This window comes from Homo sapiens, chromosome 3 (assembly GCF_000001405.40).
Source record: "Homo sapiens chromosome 3, GRCh38.p14 Primary Assembly".
NCBI classification, from domain to species: domain Eukaryota; kingdom Metazoa; phylum Chordata; class Mammalia; order Primates; family Hominidae; genus Homo; species Homo sapiens.
This window is the reverse complement of record NC_000003.12, coordinates 47,895,615-47,913,311: the sequence shown is the minus strand read 5'-3', so window position 1 is coordinate 47,913,311 and position 17,697 is coordinate 47,895,615. Positions and strand designations below refer to the sequence as shown.

General features: G+C 42.2%; 1 protein-coding gene across 163 annotated transcripts in view; it reads left to right on the top strand.

The window, feature by feature from the left end:
- The window catches only part of MAP4 (microtubule associated protein 4), a 238,154-nt gene that overhangs the window by 175,537 nt on the left and 44,920 nt on the right, over nt 1-17,697 (top strand). For 15 of the 163 annotated variants that reach the window (XM_047448129.1, XM_047448128.1, XM_047448125.1 and 12 more), the window contains one exon: nt 891-4,274. The exons of 138 other annotated variants lie outside the window; for them this stretch is intronic. In XM_047448129.1, coding sequence (XP_047304085.1) covers nt 891-4,274 — 3,384 coding nt within the window. Of the gene's footprint in view, nt 1-890; nt 4,275-10,311; nt 10,363-17,697 lie in introns of all 163 variants that reach the window. 10 more of the 163 variants (XM_047448119.1, XM_047448118.1, XM_047448124.1 and 7 more) reach the window with 2 other exon arrangements.

Below are 17,697 nucleotides of genomic sequence, written 5' to 3'. Positions count from 1 at the left end.
ATAATATTCTTGGAAATCAATTTATTGGGTCAGACTTGACAGGAGCTGGCATATACCTGCTCTTAATGAGACTCTTGCCAGGATCTTGGATCCATATTATATTAACTGGGAGGAAGGTTAGACCAGATCACCTGCTGAAACTCTTCCAAAGGTACTCATCTTAATTGTTAAAATTAATTATCCTACTTAACATTATATATATTTCTCTGTCTTTTGGGAAGTACATTTAGGAGCAGAATGTTGAAATTTAACATATTTGTCTTTCAAAGTAGGATGCTCTGGTTCTGGAATCATGAGAATTTTTCTCTGACCAAAATGTGGATTCAGTATATTTTGTGTGTGTGCGTGAAGTGACTTAAGTCTGGCCTTCTGATCTAGTTCCCAGAATCTGTCTGGTTTGTTTGACAAGTATTAGTTTAATATTGGTGACCTAGTCTTAGAATTATAAATTTTGTCCAAAATCATGTATATTTAACTGAAGCAATTAATAAATTTCACCAAAAAGAGGCAAGCACTAAGAATGACCAATATAAATCAGATGAGATTTACAGGCAGTAAGTGCTTATTTTTAGAGGTTAAAAGATGTGAAATGTTTCATTTTTAAAAGTTCAATCCTGCTACTTCTGAAATTTCAAATATTTTATAAATGTTTGAAAACAATCTTTACCTGAGATGATGATCTGTTAAATATTTTTGCTAGCGCCAGTTAAAAGTGAGAAATGTTTTAGAAAAGACTGTTTTCCTGAGCAAATTACAGTAAGTACTATATGTATTAGTGAAAATAGCCTCCTTAAATTAGTCATTTATATGGTCTGGTTTTTTTGTTTGTTTGTTTGTTTTTTGTTGTTTTTAAGAAACAATAACGAGGAGTTTTTTGTTTGGAATTTTAGCCAACTTCATGTATTGCGGTACCCCTCCCACACAAGCCAAACAAGTTTGCAGACCCAGTGACCGCAGGTCAACCCGGCCCAAGCCTGCCAGGGTCCCTCCTGAGCTGCTGGGAGGCTCTCCTCCATGGAAGACTCTTGATCACAGGCTGGGCCACTGCTCTTTGTCTGAGTCAGGTTGGGTCTCTGGTTCATCCTCCTGTGGTGGGCCTGGGAACCAAAGAAAAAGTATTCATGTTGACTCACTTGAACCCCAGAGGGATCTTGGCAGGGAGGCCTGGGATATAGAAAGCACACCAATAATGATGAAGAAAAAGAAGAAGAAACCAAAGCAAAAGAGATATTCTCAACCACGGGCTGGAGGACCTTCGGATGATGACAATGCAGATAAGCCTAAAGGTCATCCATTTGCAGCTGACACACAAAAATCAGGTGTTCTCCCCAGCCAGCCTACCACTATGGGTACAGAATATGGACTTGTATCTGGAGAAAACTTGAAAAGGGAATGTTTAGTTAACTCCAGTGCAGCCAGACTGGTAGCTGAGAACTTTGTCTCAGAGAGTCTCAGAATTCCTTTATATCCTTCTGAAGAAGCCCCCAAAACTGCAATAAGTTCTCAGTCTAAGCTGAGAGTAGAGGAAGAGAGCAAAAGTAACAAGTCAGTACTACAAAACCAAGACAAGAAATTGCTGAAGCAACATGAATACAAACCACAGCCTGCACCCCACCTGAAGACTCCTGTAGATAAAAGCCAGTCAGTAGGCCCTCTCAATCTGAAAGGACCCCTAGCAGAAGTTTCTGCATACAATGTAGAAACCCCTTTGGATATCAGACTTAAAGAGGGTTGCTCTCCTTTCTTGGACCAAGAGGTTATGGGTGTAGTTTCAAAACCCACAGCAGCAAAAGAAATACCAAATTTGGTACCCACTTTGATAGCAAGTAATCCATTAGAATGTAATCTAAAAGAAGGGAATAATGAAAGTAAAATGACTAAACTGCAGAATGTCAAACTGAAGGAGTTTCCTGAAGGAGCTGAAGAGGATAAAGAACTAAAAAAGGAAGCTTTTCCCAACGAAAGACAAGAGATCAGCATCTTTACTTCTGAGCAGCTGCAGGGCCAAGTGTTGGTACAGGTCCCTGGGGTAGAGAATGAACCATTTAAGAGAATGGCAGGTGATGGCAAAAGCAGGAAGGGAAGGGGAAGTTCTGGGAAAATGAGAACAGATTCTGGGAAGGTAAAAGCAAAATCTGAGCTGCCATTTCTTCTGGACAGCCAGAAGGACGGAAGGGCTGTTCTCATACCGAGTGAGCCAGTCTCTAAAACTGAAGGAATGACTACTCAGGATAAGAGTGAGGAGCTGGGGCTGAATTCTTCAAAGCAACCAGGCACTAAGGCTGATCTCACGGAGGCAGTGGTGATGGGGGAGCCTAAAGAGATGACTCAGCCTAAGGTGGCAGGCACCATGCAGGCATTGATTCCTTTGGAAAGTGGATCAGGCATGACTCAGACTTCTGGTGTTAGCACAGAAACAGGAGATGTAGTCAAAGATATGGGTGTCAATAACCAGAGCAAGGAAGGAAGGTGTCCATGGAAGGATCATGAGGCAGCTCCCTGGATTTCTGAAAAGCCTAAAAAGAGAGGCAATGAAGGCAAAAGCAAAAAGTTTAAAAATAATTATTCCACACAGCCTGCTAGAATGGAGAGGAAGGAAGAAATCCTTAACCCACCTTTTGAAGGGAAGGATGGAGATACTGGTAGTATTCCCCATAAAAGCAAGGAAATAGGATTTACTTTCCCCAAAATGCATGATTCTTCGTTCTCACATACACCAGATACACCCACAGTGGAAGCAGTTGACAGGAAGGGTGGAAATTTTCAGGTTAATTTTGTTGAGCTTGGGACTCTTGGGGAAAACAAGATAAGCACAGTCAAGGCTTCTACTGTTACTGAACCACCTGCCAAGGTGACAGATGTGAGCTGCCAAGAGCAAATCCAGGGGGCAGGATTTGTTCCTTCAGTAGTATCTGAGGAGAATAAGACAGATGCAGCCAATAGATACACTGCAGTGGCTGACAAACCAAGTAAAAGGAGTAATGATGGAAAAAGTAAAAAGGTTAAAAATAGTTCTCCTGAGAAGCACATTCTGGAGAATAAGATAGATGCAACAAAAATACATGTTCCCATGGAAACCACAGGGGACCAGGGAATTGAAGGAATGGCCTATATGGACGAAAATAGAAATATTACATTTACCTGTCCCAGAACACCATCAGAGCTGATAAATAAATCATCTCCTCTAGAGGTTCTGGAATCAGCAGCCTGTGAAAAACTGCCCACTCCTACTCCTCAAGTAGTAAAGGAAGGTGATTCCTTTCCAGATACCTTGGCAAAAAATGGGCAAGAGATAGCCCCAGCCCAGATTTCCAAATCATTAATGGTAGATAACTACACCAAAGATGGAGTCCCAGGTCAAGAAAGACCCAAGGGTCCCTCTGCTGTTGTGCCCTCTACAAGCACAGGAGGAGTTGCTCTACCTATTACAACAGCCATAGAAACAGTTAACATTCATGGAGATCACTCTCTTAAGAATAAAGCTGAGCTTGCTGATTCCATGAAAAATGAAGCAGGGATCGATGAAGGGCATGTGATAGGAGAATCTGAGTCAGTGCACAGTGGTGCGTCTAAGCATTCAGTAGAGAAAGTCACAGAGCTAGCAAAAGGTCACCTCCTTCCTGGAGTGCCAGTAGAAGACCAGAGCCTACCAGGAGAGGCCAGAGCCCTAGAAGGATATGCAGATAGAGGTAATTTCCCAGCACATCCAGTGAATGAAGAGAAAGAGACTAAAGAAGGGTCTGTTGCAGTTCAGATTCCTGACTTACTGGAAGACAAAGCACAAAAGCTCAGTTTTTGTGAGGACCAAAATGCTCAAGATAGAAATTCCAAAGGTTCAGATAGTTTGAATAAGAAGGTAGATCTGACTCTTTTGTCTCCAAAAAGTGAAAATGATAAATTGAAAGAAATTAGTCTGGCTTGTAAAATCACGGAATTGGAAAGCGTTTCCTTGCCAACACCAGAAATCCAGTCAGATTTCTTACATAGCAAAGTCGAAGCTCCTCCTTCAGAGGTGGCGGATACGTTAGTAATAATGACTGCTTCCAAGGGTGTTCGACTCCCAGAACCCAAAGATAAGATTTTGGAGACACCTCAGAAAATGACAGAAAAATCTGAATCAAAGACACCAGGAGAAGGGAAAAAGGAAGATAAAAGCAGAATGGCAGAACCAATGAAAGGCTACATGAGACCCACCAAGTCCCGAGGACTTACTCCACTTTTGCCAAAGTCTACAATCCAGGAACAAGAGAGACATAAGCAACTGAAGTCCGCTGGTATGAACCTGCCATGGGGAAATGTGTGTGCTTGTGGCTTTTGAGTCAGCATCAGAAAGGCAAAGAGCTTGTGTCTTGGCTCCATCCAGACTCTAATCATCCTTGTTAATCATTGGTTTGTTGGCATGAAACCTATAACTGCTACGGTGTGTTTTCTGCAGCCAATGTGTTCCTTGTGTCCTGCTTGAGGAGGCTGGTAACTTGGTTGCATGCCTTTTTTACCCAGCACTGAACGTTGAATTTTAGGGGAAGTTGAATTTTCAATGAATTGTCTAACAAAAGACCTATCATCATCCATTTCTTAATTTTTTTAAAATTGTGCCTCCTATGTATCAAGTTTACAGCTAAATTTTAATCATTACTTGGTATAAGGATTCACAGGAGGAAAGAAAATATTTCATGTCTAGCTATGTGCATGAGATTTTTTTCAATTTATATGTAGCTTGTGCTGGTGGGACTAAATATCCAAACTGCTTTTAGGTTAAATGAAATCAGTCCACCTCCTTATGAGGAAATGGTGGCCTCAAACCAGCATTGGTAGGCACCGATTTATTTGTGTTTCTAGTAATGGGAAATGATCTCTCAATGATACAGATACATTTTTTGACCAGTTTGTTGCTTATATCCATTGCCCCACAGTTCCATGTGGGTTTGAGTTTTGGGCATAGTCTGTGTCCATCAAACATAGTCCATAAAACTTGCCCATGTTGTGTTCCTCATAATTTTACTCTTTTTTGGCTCTATTCAGTCAAGTAATTGGAATGAGATTAAGAAGATGATTCCTTTAAGATTTAGAAATGGTAGCCCCGTTTCCCCCCACCCCCAATTCCCCAAAAAAGTATACATTTAATCGTGGCTTCCCTGAATCTAGCTTTCAAAAAATGTTCCCTTGTCTTTGAGATTTTTCACAGCCTACAAGTGACACTATTTCTTAATCACTGTTTCCCAGCTTGCATGATGTAGCTACTAACTCCAGAATTTAAAAAAAACACCAATTGGTTTTAGTAGCCAGTCAGGCTTTTAGAGAGGTTTCATCATGGGATTGTGTTCTGCATGGTATGGACTTGTTCTTTTGGGTAAAGCTTGTCTATGCATGAGTATGTACCCACTAAGGAATACTGCTGTGTGAGTAAAGAATGCTAAAGGTTGTTATTTGCATAAGACATTCTCATCTTCTCTGTTTTTATCTTCTATTAGCTACCCTATTACCAAGGCAGAAAATGAAATAGTATGTAGAGGGCTTTCCAGCATTCATTGAGATTTCCAGTGTTCTATCCAGTTCTTTCGTTTTGGTTTCTAGACCCATTCTTTAGTTTCAGCAGTGATCTAAAAGTTAACATGTAATTTCTGTGAAATCCCAGCCATCTCTTTTTGCTCAGTATTTCCAAAGAAATGCAGAAAGAGGATTTGTTTTTCTTGAGGAAGCAAGACCAGTACTGCAGAACTTTTGGGGCCCTGCCTGGGTCAGGTCAGGCTCAGAGACTGTGTTAGCAGTGGCCTTACAGAGTGGGTATGGGAAGGATAATGGGTTTGGGACAAAATTTATTGTTTCTTCTATAAATTCTACCACACCTTTCCCCTAAGGACAATGTATACCTTTTTAATAGTTAAAAAAAAATTTTTAAACTAATTGTCGAATAGGTTAATACATTCACATGGTACAAAGGAGTATACAGTAAAACGTAAGTTGGCCTCCCTCCATTAACCGCCTTCCAGCTTTCCCTCTCCAGAGCAACCAGTGTTCACAATAGCTTATATATCCTTCCAGACAATTTATGTATAATAAGTAATAACATATATATTTCCTGATTTCATATAAATGAGACGTATACATACATACTGATGTGTGCTATTCTTTTTAAACTTAATTTTTAAAGAGATCTTTTAAGACTCAGTATAAAGAAGCCAGGCGCAGTGGCTCACACCTATAATCCCAGCACTTTGGGAGGCCGAGGCAGGCGGATCACCTGAGGTCAGGAGTTCGAGACCAGCCTCACCAACGTGGAGAAACCCCATCTCTACTAAAAATACAAAACTAGCTGGGTGTGGTGGTGCATGCCTGTAATCCCAGCTACTTGGGAGGATGAGGCAGGAGAATCACTTGAATCTGGGAGGTGGAGGTTGCAGTGAGCCGAGATCGCGCCACTGCACCCCAGCCTGGGCCACAAGAGGGAAACTCCATTTCAAAAAAAAAAAAGAATCAGTATAAAGAAAGAGGCCTCTTTTTTTTGTTTTTTTTTTTAATCTTTTTTCCTGGTACATGTCTCTAGATATGACTCATTCTTTTTTGATAGCTGTATACTATTTCATTACATAGGTATATACTAATGTATTATAGTACTTTTTTTTTTTTTGAGACAGAGTTTTGCTCTCATTGCCCACGAAGGAGTGCAATGGCATGATCTCAGTTCACCGCAACCTCTGCCTCCTGGGTTCAAGTGATTCTCCTGCCTCAGCCTCCCGAGTAGCTGGGATTACAGGCATGCACCACCACGCCCAGCTAATTTTGTATTTTTAATAGAGACGGGGTTTCTCCATGTTGGTCAGGCTGATCTCAAACTCCCAACCTCAGGTGATCTGTCTGCCTCAGCCTCCCCAAAGTGTTGGAATTACAGGTGTTGAGCCACCGTGCCTGGCCAGTACTTCTTTACTGATGCACATTTAGGTGTTTCCCAACTTTTTTTCATTAGAAATATGGTACATAAACTATCTTTGTATCTATAGGATGTCATCTTCATGTGTGTGCGTCTGTGTAATAAAAAGGGGCTCCGGAGTAAGAATCTCTGGTTTGAAGAATATGTATTCATAATTTTGATGGGTGTTCCATATTGCTCTCTGTAGGCCTACAGAGATGTCCCTTGTAGAGAAAGGTACATCTCTACTCCCACCCTCAACATAGACAAATACCTGTTTCCCTGCCTTTCTCTACTAGTGTGATTTTTTTTTTTTTTTTGGTTATGTGTACTGATCTAATCGGTGAAAAATTATTTCATGGCATAGATTTTGTGTGTGTGCTGTTTTTTGTTTGTTTTTTTTGTTTTTTGAGATGGAGTTTCACTCTTGTTGCCCAGGCTGGAGTGCAATGGCACGATCTTGGCTCACTGCAACCTCCACCTCCCAGGTTCAAGCGATTCTCCTACCTCAGCCTCCCTAGTAGCTAGGATTATAGGTGCCTACCACCACGCTCAGCTAATTTTTTGTATTTTTAGTAGAGCTGGGTTTCACTATGTTGGCCAGGCTGGTCTTGAACTCCTGACCTTAGGCGATCCACTTGCCTCAGCCTCCCAAAGTGCTGGGATTACAGGCATGAGCTACCATGCCTGGCTGTGTTTTATTTTTTTTTTAGTGACTTCTTCATGTATTAACAAGTTTATAAAAGCCAATCCATGCTCTGAAATTATGAAAATATTTTCTTTTCTCTTCTATTAATATTTTTCATTTTAAATTGTTGGCCAATCTAGAATTTGCTTGTTTGTGGGGTTTTTTTTTTTTGTTGTTGTTGTTGTTTTGGTATGTTTTGTTTATAAGGTTGTGAGGCAGGGTTACTTGGTCATCCCACCATCATGTTTATAATCGATCTCCCACTGAACTGCCACCTTTGTCATACCCTAAATTTCTGCATGTATTTGGTCTATTTCTGGACTTTCTTTCCTGATCCATTGATCTTTCCACCAGGCTTCCTAATATATTTTAATATCTAATAGGGCTAGCCCAACCCCTTGCCCTATTATTCTTTTTCAGAGTTGTCCTATTCTTATTTTTTAGTTTTGTAGAAGAAAAATTAATCCACTCAATATTTTTCTTGAAGTCACTGTTTCTAGCTTATCGTAGGGAGAGTTTATGTCTTGCATATCGAGTTTTTCTGTCGAACAGCATAATGTGTTCACATGTTTTGTTAGTCCATCACTGGTGTTTATCTTTGTTCCTCACTTTGAATCATTCATGTTAACTGCCCTGCCCCCATATTGCTACCAATTCTCACATATCTTGTTCTCATTCGTCTTGTGGTCAAATGGTGTCACCCATGGTTTCCATTGTTTGGACAGTAAAGATATTACAAATGGTGTTGGCTGGGCACAGTGGCTCACACCTGTAGTCCCAGCACTTTGGGAGGCTGAGGTAGGCAAATCACTTGAGGCCAGGAGTTCAAGACCAGCCTGGCCAACATGGTGAAACCCCATCTCTACTAAAAATACAAAAAGTAGCCACGCATGATGTTGCATGCCTGTAATTCCACCTACTCAGGAGACTGAGGCAGGAGAATCGCTCTCTTGAACCCAAGAGGCAGAGGTTCCAGTAAGCCAAGATCACAACACTGCCCTCCAGCCTGGGCGATAGAGTGAGTGAGACTCCATCCCCCGCCCCGCCCCTCTCTAGCCCCCCCGCCCAAAAAAAAAAAAGATATTATTAGTGGTGTTAGTAAAAATAATAGTACCTCTAACTAATCCGGGTGTTAATAATAATAGCACTGGCCAGGCGCAGCAGATCACCTGAGGTCAGGAGTTCGAGACCAGCCTGGCCAACATGGTGAAACCCCATCTCTACTAAAAATACAAAAATTAGCTGGGTATGACAGCGCACGCCTGTAATCCCAGCTACTCAGGAGGCTCAGGAGAATTTCTTGAACCTAGGAGGCAGAGGTTGCAGTGAGCCAAGATCGCACCACTGCACTCCAGCCTGGGAGACAGAGTGAGACTCCATCTCAAAAAATAATAATAATAATAATAGCACCTACCACCTATTGAGTTGATTTTATTTGCCTGGTTATCTGGAAATAGGTAAATAGATCATACACACACACATAAAATAACACTATTAAAGATTATCTCCATTTTTCAGGTGAGAAAATGGAGGCTGTCAAGGTCACATAGCTGGTGAAGTGCCAGGGTTAGAATTTGAATCCAAGTCTTTATGTTTCTAAGATCCATGCTTTTCTTAGACTTGCTTCAGAAGCTTCCGGAAGTTTCAGGTACTTAAAAAGAAAAAGATGAAGGTTGACAATTAGTAAACATAAAATAGACTTTTTTTAGTATCTAGGCACTAATTAAACACTTTTCTACTTGGAGAAATAAAGATACATCATGAAAATATAAACTGTGAATTAGAGGTTAATTTAGGATTAGAATCTAGGTCTTTTGACTCTGTCTAGCATTTTATTGTCCAGAGAGTCTGTGTTTGATTTATTTACATGTACTTTTTAACACCCAGCCTAGAGCTTTATATATACATGATGCCTAATGACATTTTTTGAATTATAAGTGAATTATCTTTTTGCTGATCTTACCCTGTTTAGAAGTAGGGAAAGTGAATATATTGCCAAAGTCTCTTCCAGCTTACTGTTTGCTCTACTGTTATTTTTTCATGCTGCTGTCAAATTTAGGGAAACTTTAACAGAAGGTTTCTTTGCATACTATGCATGTTCTTCCAGGCAGGGAAGATTAATGCAATACGTCAGGAAGTCTAAGCTCAACTTTTCAGAAAAGGACTTTTTTTTTTTTTTTTTTTGAGACGGAGTCTCGCTCTTTCGCCAAGGCGAGAGTGCAGTGGCGCGATCTCGGCTCACTGCACGCTCTGCCTCCCAGGTTCACGCCGTTCTCCTGCCTCAGCCTCCCGAGTAGCTGGGACTACAGGCGCCCACCACTATGCCTGGCTAATTTTTTGTATTTTTAGTAGAGACGGGGTTTCACCGTGTTAGCCAGGATGGTCTCGATCTCCTGACCTCGTGATCCGCCCGCCTTGGCCTCCCAAAGTGCTGGGATTACAAGGGTGAGCCACCGCACCTGGCCAGAAAAGGACTTCTTATGGGATTGTGTTTTTTGTGAAGGGAAGCACAAACTTGAAAGGATGATCCACATTAGATTCCAATACCCGCTCCATGTTAGTTGTTCCCCTGGAAACCAAGTAGAACTGTGAGTGACAGTGTACTTGCTATGCTGCTACTGTGAATGGGACAGTTTGGGATCCCTGTAAATAGGCCCTCCCTTTGCCATAGTGAAGCCTGGTCTTCTTATAATCTGGCTTTCATTTCTTTCTTCAGTTTGCTTGAGCTCATCAACTGTCTACCAGCAGCTGGGAATGTCAGTTTATGGTGAGAAACTCTCTTGGTGTGAAACTTGAAGTAATTTATAAACCCAGAATTCTAACAGTTTCAAGGCCCTTGTACATAAATAAAATATGCTCAGCAGATGAAAAAACCATTTGTTATCTTAGAACTTGCTACTATTTTACAACTGGAGAAGTACCCATTTGGTAATGTCTTTTCTTAACTGTAGTGCCATTTGTGAAGTTCCTTTCCTCATTACTCTCACCCCACTTGCCCTCTGATTCAACTGGCTTCTTTTTTTTTTTTTTTTTTTTTTTTTTTGAGACAGAGTCTCCCTCTGTCGCCCAGGCAGGAGTGCAGTGGCACAATCTCGGCTCACTGCAACCTCTGGCTCCTGGGTTCAAGCAGTTCTCCTGCCTCAGCCTCCTGAGTAGTTGGGATTATAGGCATGTGTCACCACGCCCGGCTAATTTTTGTATTTTTAGTAGAGATGGGGTTTAACCATGTTAGCCAGGCTGGTCTTGAACTCCTGACCTCGTGATCCACCCACCTCGGTCTCCCAAAGTGCTGGGACTACAGGCATGAGCCACTGCGCCTGACTCCACTGGCTTTTTTTTACTACCATGCTGATGAAATTTATTGGGACTAGTCACACAACTAAAAATAGCTACCATTTATTGAACCTTACTATATACTCATTGCCATCCTAAACTCTTAACCTCCAAAAAATACTGTGTGGTCATTACCTTGTTTGAGCCAGAACATTTAAATATTCTTTGAAATGAATCAAGCAACAATTGATTATCCTACTTTGTTTTGTTAAATTTGTATTTATTTTTTTGAGACAAGGTATCACTTTGTCACCCAGGCTGAAGTGCAGTGGCATGATCACGGCTTACTACAGCCTCGACCTCCCAGGCTCAAGTAATCCTCCTGCCTCAGCCTCCCAAGTAGTTGAGACTACAGGTGTGCACCACCATACCTGGTGAATATTTTTTGTAGAGATGGGGTCTCACTCTGTTGCCCAGGCTAGTCTCAAACTTCTGGCCTCAAGCAATCCTTCCTCCTTGGCCTCCCAAAGTGCTGAGATTCTAGGTGTGAGGCACCATGCCTGGCTTGAATATCCTACTTTAAAAGAAGCTTCTTCCCCTCATATTCCCTCACCCTTCACTTGTACCCTCTGGTTGACAAATAGCATTGGGGGATTCTGAACACACTGTTAAAATAAAAACTTAGTTTTGATTTACAGTATTGCAGATATAGTTATTTCTTTAAGATATGGAGGTGACAGTAAGGGGGCTTCCATTCTTTTTTTTTTTTTTAAATAGGGTCTTGCTCAGTTGCCCAGGCTGGGGTGCAGTGGTACAGTCTCAGCTGACTACAGCCTCCGCCTCCTGGGCTCAGGTGATACTCCCACCTCAGTTGCAAGTAGCTGGAACTACAGGTGCGTGCCTCCGTGCCCGGCTAATTTTTGTATTTTTTGTAGAGGCTGGGTTTGGCCATGTTGCACAACCTAGTCTTGAACTCCTGAGCTCAAGTGATCCGTCCACCTCGGCCTCCTGAAGTGTATAAACATTGCCTATTGCTCTGCAAATAGCGGACACACAGCATGATTTGTACTTTTTAGTATTTAGTTTATTCATTCATTCAGTAGATACCAAGTGACATTACTCCTACTCTAAAAATAGACTAATAAAACACATTCTATACTCTTCAGAGATTCCAGGGTGGAAAACAGACAGTTTTCCTCTAGTAAGAGAAGTTTACTCCTCTGAAAAAGGATAGAAGTGTGAGCTAGATCCTATGGAAATACAGAGCAGAAAGGGACTAAGTTTTCCTACAAGACCTAGAGAAATCTTCACACAGGAGACTCTGAAAGTATGGCTAAGAGTTTGCTGAGCAAATTAAGGTAAAGAATTCTAGGGGACAGCTGTGTAAAGGCATGCATAGTGAAGTGCAGGTGCATGGAATAAAGTCAAGTTTGGGGAAACAGGGACATCTGTTAAACATTTTGAGATGAAATTGGGGAAAAGAAAGTAAGCTCCTAAAGGATCCTAGGGGTATTGTGTGCCTCTAAAAGCAGAAGATCTTAGATTTTTGCTTGAAGAAATGGGTTATCTTTCTACCTAGTTTAGTTGGATGATTCTCTTTTCTTTTGGGGAGGGCTATGGGAGGGTCCATACTAGACTTAAAAGAACAAAGACTTGATATTTCCAAGTTGTAGTTTTTAGAGTTGTTGTTGTTGTTGTTGTTGTTGTTTTGAGACAGTCTCCCTCTGTAGCCCAGGCTGGAGTGCAGTGGCGCCATCTCGGCTCACTGTAATCTCCACCTCCCAGGTTCAAGCGATTCTCCTGCCTCAGCCTCCCAAGTAGCTGGGACTACAGGTGCACACCACCGCACCCAGCTAGTTTTTGTATTTTTAGTAGAGACAGGGTTTCACCATGTTGGCCAGGCTAGTCTCAAACTCCAGCAGGTGATGCGCCTGCCTCAGCCTCCCAAAGTGCTGGGATTACAGGCCTTAGCTACCATGCCCGGCCTTTAGAGGATTTCTTATCCATAAGCATTTTCATGTCTTTGGTTCACATATATCAGATTATTCGCCTCAGCTTATTCATTCTGTCTGTTTGCTTCTCATCCTTTTTTTAATCAGGGAGAATCATGATTTATTTTCTTGAGTTAAAACATGAGAAATGTTTCTAAAATGTAGAATATGGTTTCTGAAATAGTTTTACCTTTATGTATGTATGTCTAAACACTTGGAACGTTTACTTCCAGGGAAGAAACTAGATTATAACTTGACAACTTTATCTTTTATTAACAAGGAGTGAGTGTCATCAATCATTGTTAATAGTAGAATTATTGACTTTCATTGTAATGATAATTGTTTCCTGGAGGCAATAACTGGGAACAGTTGGTCAATCTGGAAAGTAGTGTTGCCTTGGTAACTGATAAGAAAGAATGCAGAGAAACTAGTTGTCTGTCATGTATAAAAACCAAGGCCCTGAACAGGTTAAATACTAACTCCAAGCACAAGGCTAAAACAGAAATATCTGCCAGTACATGTACTGGGATTAGAGACCTGCAGGCTTTGCCAAGAGTCCTGGAAACCACCTTCTGCCCAGACACACAGGAATCCATGCGCTTTCTTCAAACTCAGACAGAATGGAATAGAACTTCACAATATTTAGCTCAAAGGACATTCCAGATCACCACCGCTTGGGTTGGGTTGAAGACAGCTTTAATGATGGAACGGATCAGGTCAAATGATGCAGATGCAGTGTAAAAGGAAACTACCCATCCTTTCACTGAGCAGATCTTTTTTGAAAGCTTATTTACTGTGAGTCAAGCACTGTGCAGTGCACCCACATGGCACAAATGCACAGTTCACATTCCTACCTTCTAGAAGCTCCTGGGAAAGTCATATAAATAAAAGATTACAGTGTGGTTTCTAAATTCTAAAAAGAGATAGAGTATTATGATAATATAAAGAACTCAGGAGGGGTTCAAAGAGACTTTGCAGAGGTGAGTGAGTAGGAATAGGACCTAGAGGCAAGGGGCCGGGTGCGGTGGTTCACACTTGTAATCCCAGCACTTTGGGAGGCTGAGGCAGGAGGATCACCTGAGGTTAGGAGTTCCAGATTAGCCTGGCCAACATAGTGAAACCCTGTGTATACTAAAAATACAAAAATTAGCTGGGTGTGGTGATTAGCTGGGACACCTGTAATCCCAGCTCCTGGGGAGGAAGAACCTAGAGACAAGGAATCCCAGTGGCAGCTGAATCTAGGACTTAGTCCTTCTGGTTCTTAAGTGTGTTTCTTTTTACCTAGGCAGGCTCACCCTTTTCAAACTTCATGTATTTACCTCATCCACCAACTTGATATAATTTTACAGTGGCTGGGAGATTGGAGTTTCTTGCTGTGGCTATTTCCTGTGGATAAATCTGCATCCCTGATTGAGATTATGTCTGTAATTCTTATTTGGACTGGAGTACTGAACTGGCCATTCTCAGGGTGTTCTGTGGGTTGTTTTGTTTTGTTTTTAAACAAGGTCTCTGTCGCTCAGGCTGGAGTGCAGTGGCGTGATCATAGTTCACTCACTGCAGCCTCAGACTCTTAGGTTTAAGTGATCCTCCTTCTTCAGCCTCCCAAGTAGCTAGTACTATGGGCATGCACCACCACACCTGGCTAAAAAACATTTTTTTCTTATTTTTTTTGTATAGATGTGGGTCCTGCTATGTTGCCCAGGCTCTTGAACTCTTGGCCTCAAGTGGTCCTCCCACCTAACCCTTCTAAAGTGCTGGTGTTACAGGCGTGGGCTACTATGCCCAGTCTTTCTTGAGTTTTACTAATTATTCTATACTAGGGTTTCCCCATCATTTGTCATCCAGGTGGCATTCACCTCATTTGGGGTGCAACAAAGCCATTAATTATTCTTCCATTTAATATCTTTGTATGCCTTGCAAAAGCAATAGTGTAATCTTTTTTTTTTTTTTTTGAGGCGGAGTCTCGCCCTGTTGGCAGGCTGGAGTGCAGTGGCGCGATCTCAGCTCACTGCAACCTCTGCCTCCCGGATTCAAGCAATTCTCCTGCCTCAGCCTCCCGGGTAGCTGGGACTACAGGTGCGTGCCACCACGCCCAGCTAATTTTTGTATTTTCACTAGAGACAGGGTTTCATCACGTTGGCCAGGATGGTCTCGATCTCTTGACCTCATGATCCACCTGCCTCTGCCTCCCAAAGTGCTGGGATTACAGGGGTGAGCCACCATGCCCAGCCTAGTGTAATGAAACTAGAAGCTACTCTGTCCCTTCCCCCTCTGTAAAAGCGTCTGGTTCTCTGCTTTTTCTTAGTGAGGCTGAATCTGTCTTCCTACTCAGAAGCCACATGAAAGGAAACTTACAGTGCTAAGGCACCATAGAAAGATATTAACATAAATCTAAGTTCTCTTAAGACTGGAAATTAGAAACAGAAGTTTGCTAAGGAATAAGTCACCCACATCTTACTCTTTGCATAATTAAAGCAGGACCATTCTTTCTTTTTTTTTTTTCCCCCCCCCGATATGGAGTCTCACTCTGTTGCCTGGCCTGGAGTGCAGTGGTGGGATCTCGGCTCACTGCAGCCTCCACCTCCCAGGTTCAAGCGATTCTCCTGCCTCAGACTCCCGAGTAGCTGGGATTACAGGTACCTGCCACCACACCCAGCTAATTTTTTGTATCTTTTTTTAGTGGAGACAGGGTTTCACCATGTTGGCCAGGCTGGTCTCGAACTCCTGACCTTGTGATCCGCCCGCCTCGACCTCCCAAAGTACTGAGATTACAGGCATGAGCCACTACTCCCGGCCTCAAACAAGACCGTTCTTAAGATATAAAGTAAACACCGAAACCAAGTGCATTGCCTCTTTTTCTCCCTTACTTCAAACACGCGTTTGCTCCCCTAAACACACATACATACACACACATGTGTATGCATACTGTGTATTAATTTGGGAGTTTTGGAGTGATCACAAAAGAATTAAATTATAATTCCAAATTAAAGTTTGAAGTACTTCAATGATCACAAAAAAGATACATTGGGCCGAGCGCAATGCCCACAGCTGTAATCCCAGCACTTGGGGAGGCCGAGTTGGGCAGATCACCTGAGGTCAGAAGTTCAAGACCAGCCTGGCCAACATCGTGAAACCCTGTCTCTACTAAAAATACAAAAATTAGTCAGGTGTGGTGGTGTGGGCCTGTAATCCCAGCTACTCCGGAAGCTGAGGCAGGAGAATCGCTTGAGCCTGGGAGGCAGAGGTTGTAGTTAGCCGAGATCATGCCACTGCACTCCAGCCTGGGCAACAAAGCGAGACCCCCTCTCAAAAAAATAAAGATACATCGAAAAGGAGAGTCATCTAGTGACTAAGATTAATTTTTGCTCAGCGGTTTGGGAAGACTGGCAGTCAGAAACCTAGCATCTTCTTTGTGGCTTTTCCATTAAGTTTTCACCATGTGATCATGGGCAAACCACTTTTTTTCTCTGGACACCATTTTGTTCCTCTATAAAATGAGGGGTCTGTTAGGGAAGCCTCAGCATTCTGACTCTGTACTGTCACACATACTTTAGTGTCTTTGCAGTACTGTTGATGGATATAATGGACCCTTGTCCTAAAAGGGATTCAGGGAATAGGTTATTTACTTTCCTTAGGCAGTGCCCCAGATTTTGAAATTTAGCTTTTCTTTTTCTCTTATCTGTTAGTGATTGCAATTACGATTTATATGTTGTTTCTTGTGAGTAGTAGTGGTTGTTTTGTTTTGTTTTTGTCTGTCTTTACCAGAGTGCAGCAGTTCTCCAGTCCAGGGACTTAGGCTTTCTCACTTTTGTTGTTGTTGTTGTTATTATTACTACACATCAGATTCCCTATAGGGAGTAGGAAAACCTACTTCATATATATATATGTACAGTTTCTTGGTTGTTTTTTTGTTTGTTTGTTTGGAGATGGAGTTTCGCTCTTGTTGCCCAGGCTGGAGTGCAATGGCATGATCTCCACTCACTGCAACCTCTGCCTCCCGGGTTCAAGCGATTCTCCTGCCTCAGCCTCCCGAGTAGCTGGGATTACAGGCATGTGCCACCACGCCCGGCTAATTTTGTATTTTTAGTAGACACGGGGTTTCTCCATGTTGTTCAGGCTGGTCTCGAACTCCCAACCTCAGGTGATCCTCCCGCCTCGGCCTCCCAAAGAGCTGGGATTACAGGCGTGAGCCACCGCGCCCGGCCTTCTTGGTTGTTTTTTTAAAGCTAGCATCAGTAGATACATTATGTATTTGTGTGTTTTAACTACTTTGTCAAATGCTTTTTATATATATTCCCTCAATCCTCACGGCTATGTGTTTTGTTGTACTCAGACCCCTGGGTGACCACCAAACTTATCTGTATGCCTGAGCACCTGGCTGACATGATGTCTTGGGTACTCGCCCCTTCTATGGGCTTGAACTTCTTGTTCTGACCGCCCCCCCACCCCAGATTGCTTCTTTCAACTCTCTGTCTCCTGAGCCTTGTAACTATGAAGCCAGTGCTTGGCCCAGTTGCTAGATGTTGACCTCATAATTATATTTTTTCAGTTTGACCACATTTCTGATCTACACAGTATGAACTGTAGTCTGGAATATGCACTTCTTTGTGCCTGACTAGCTTCATTCTTCTGGTTTCTGCTCTTGGTCTTTTGGCTGGTTCACATTTTGCAGTCTGCTGTTTATGGATAGAATTACTGAGGCAGAATATGTGATATCTGAAGGTAGCAGAGACCTGTAATTTTAGTTATTGCCTTAGCTGTTGGGTAGGGATGAACTAGTGAAGTGGGTCTGGGTAGGCTGGCCAGAACTAAAAATAATTTGGCTATAAGGAACAAGT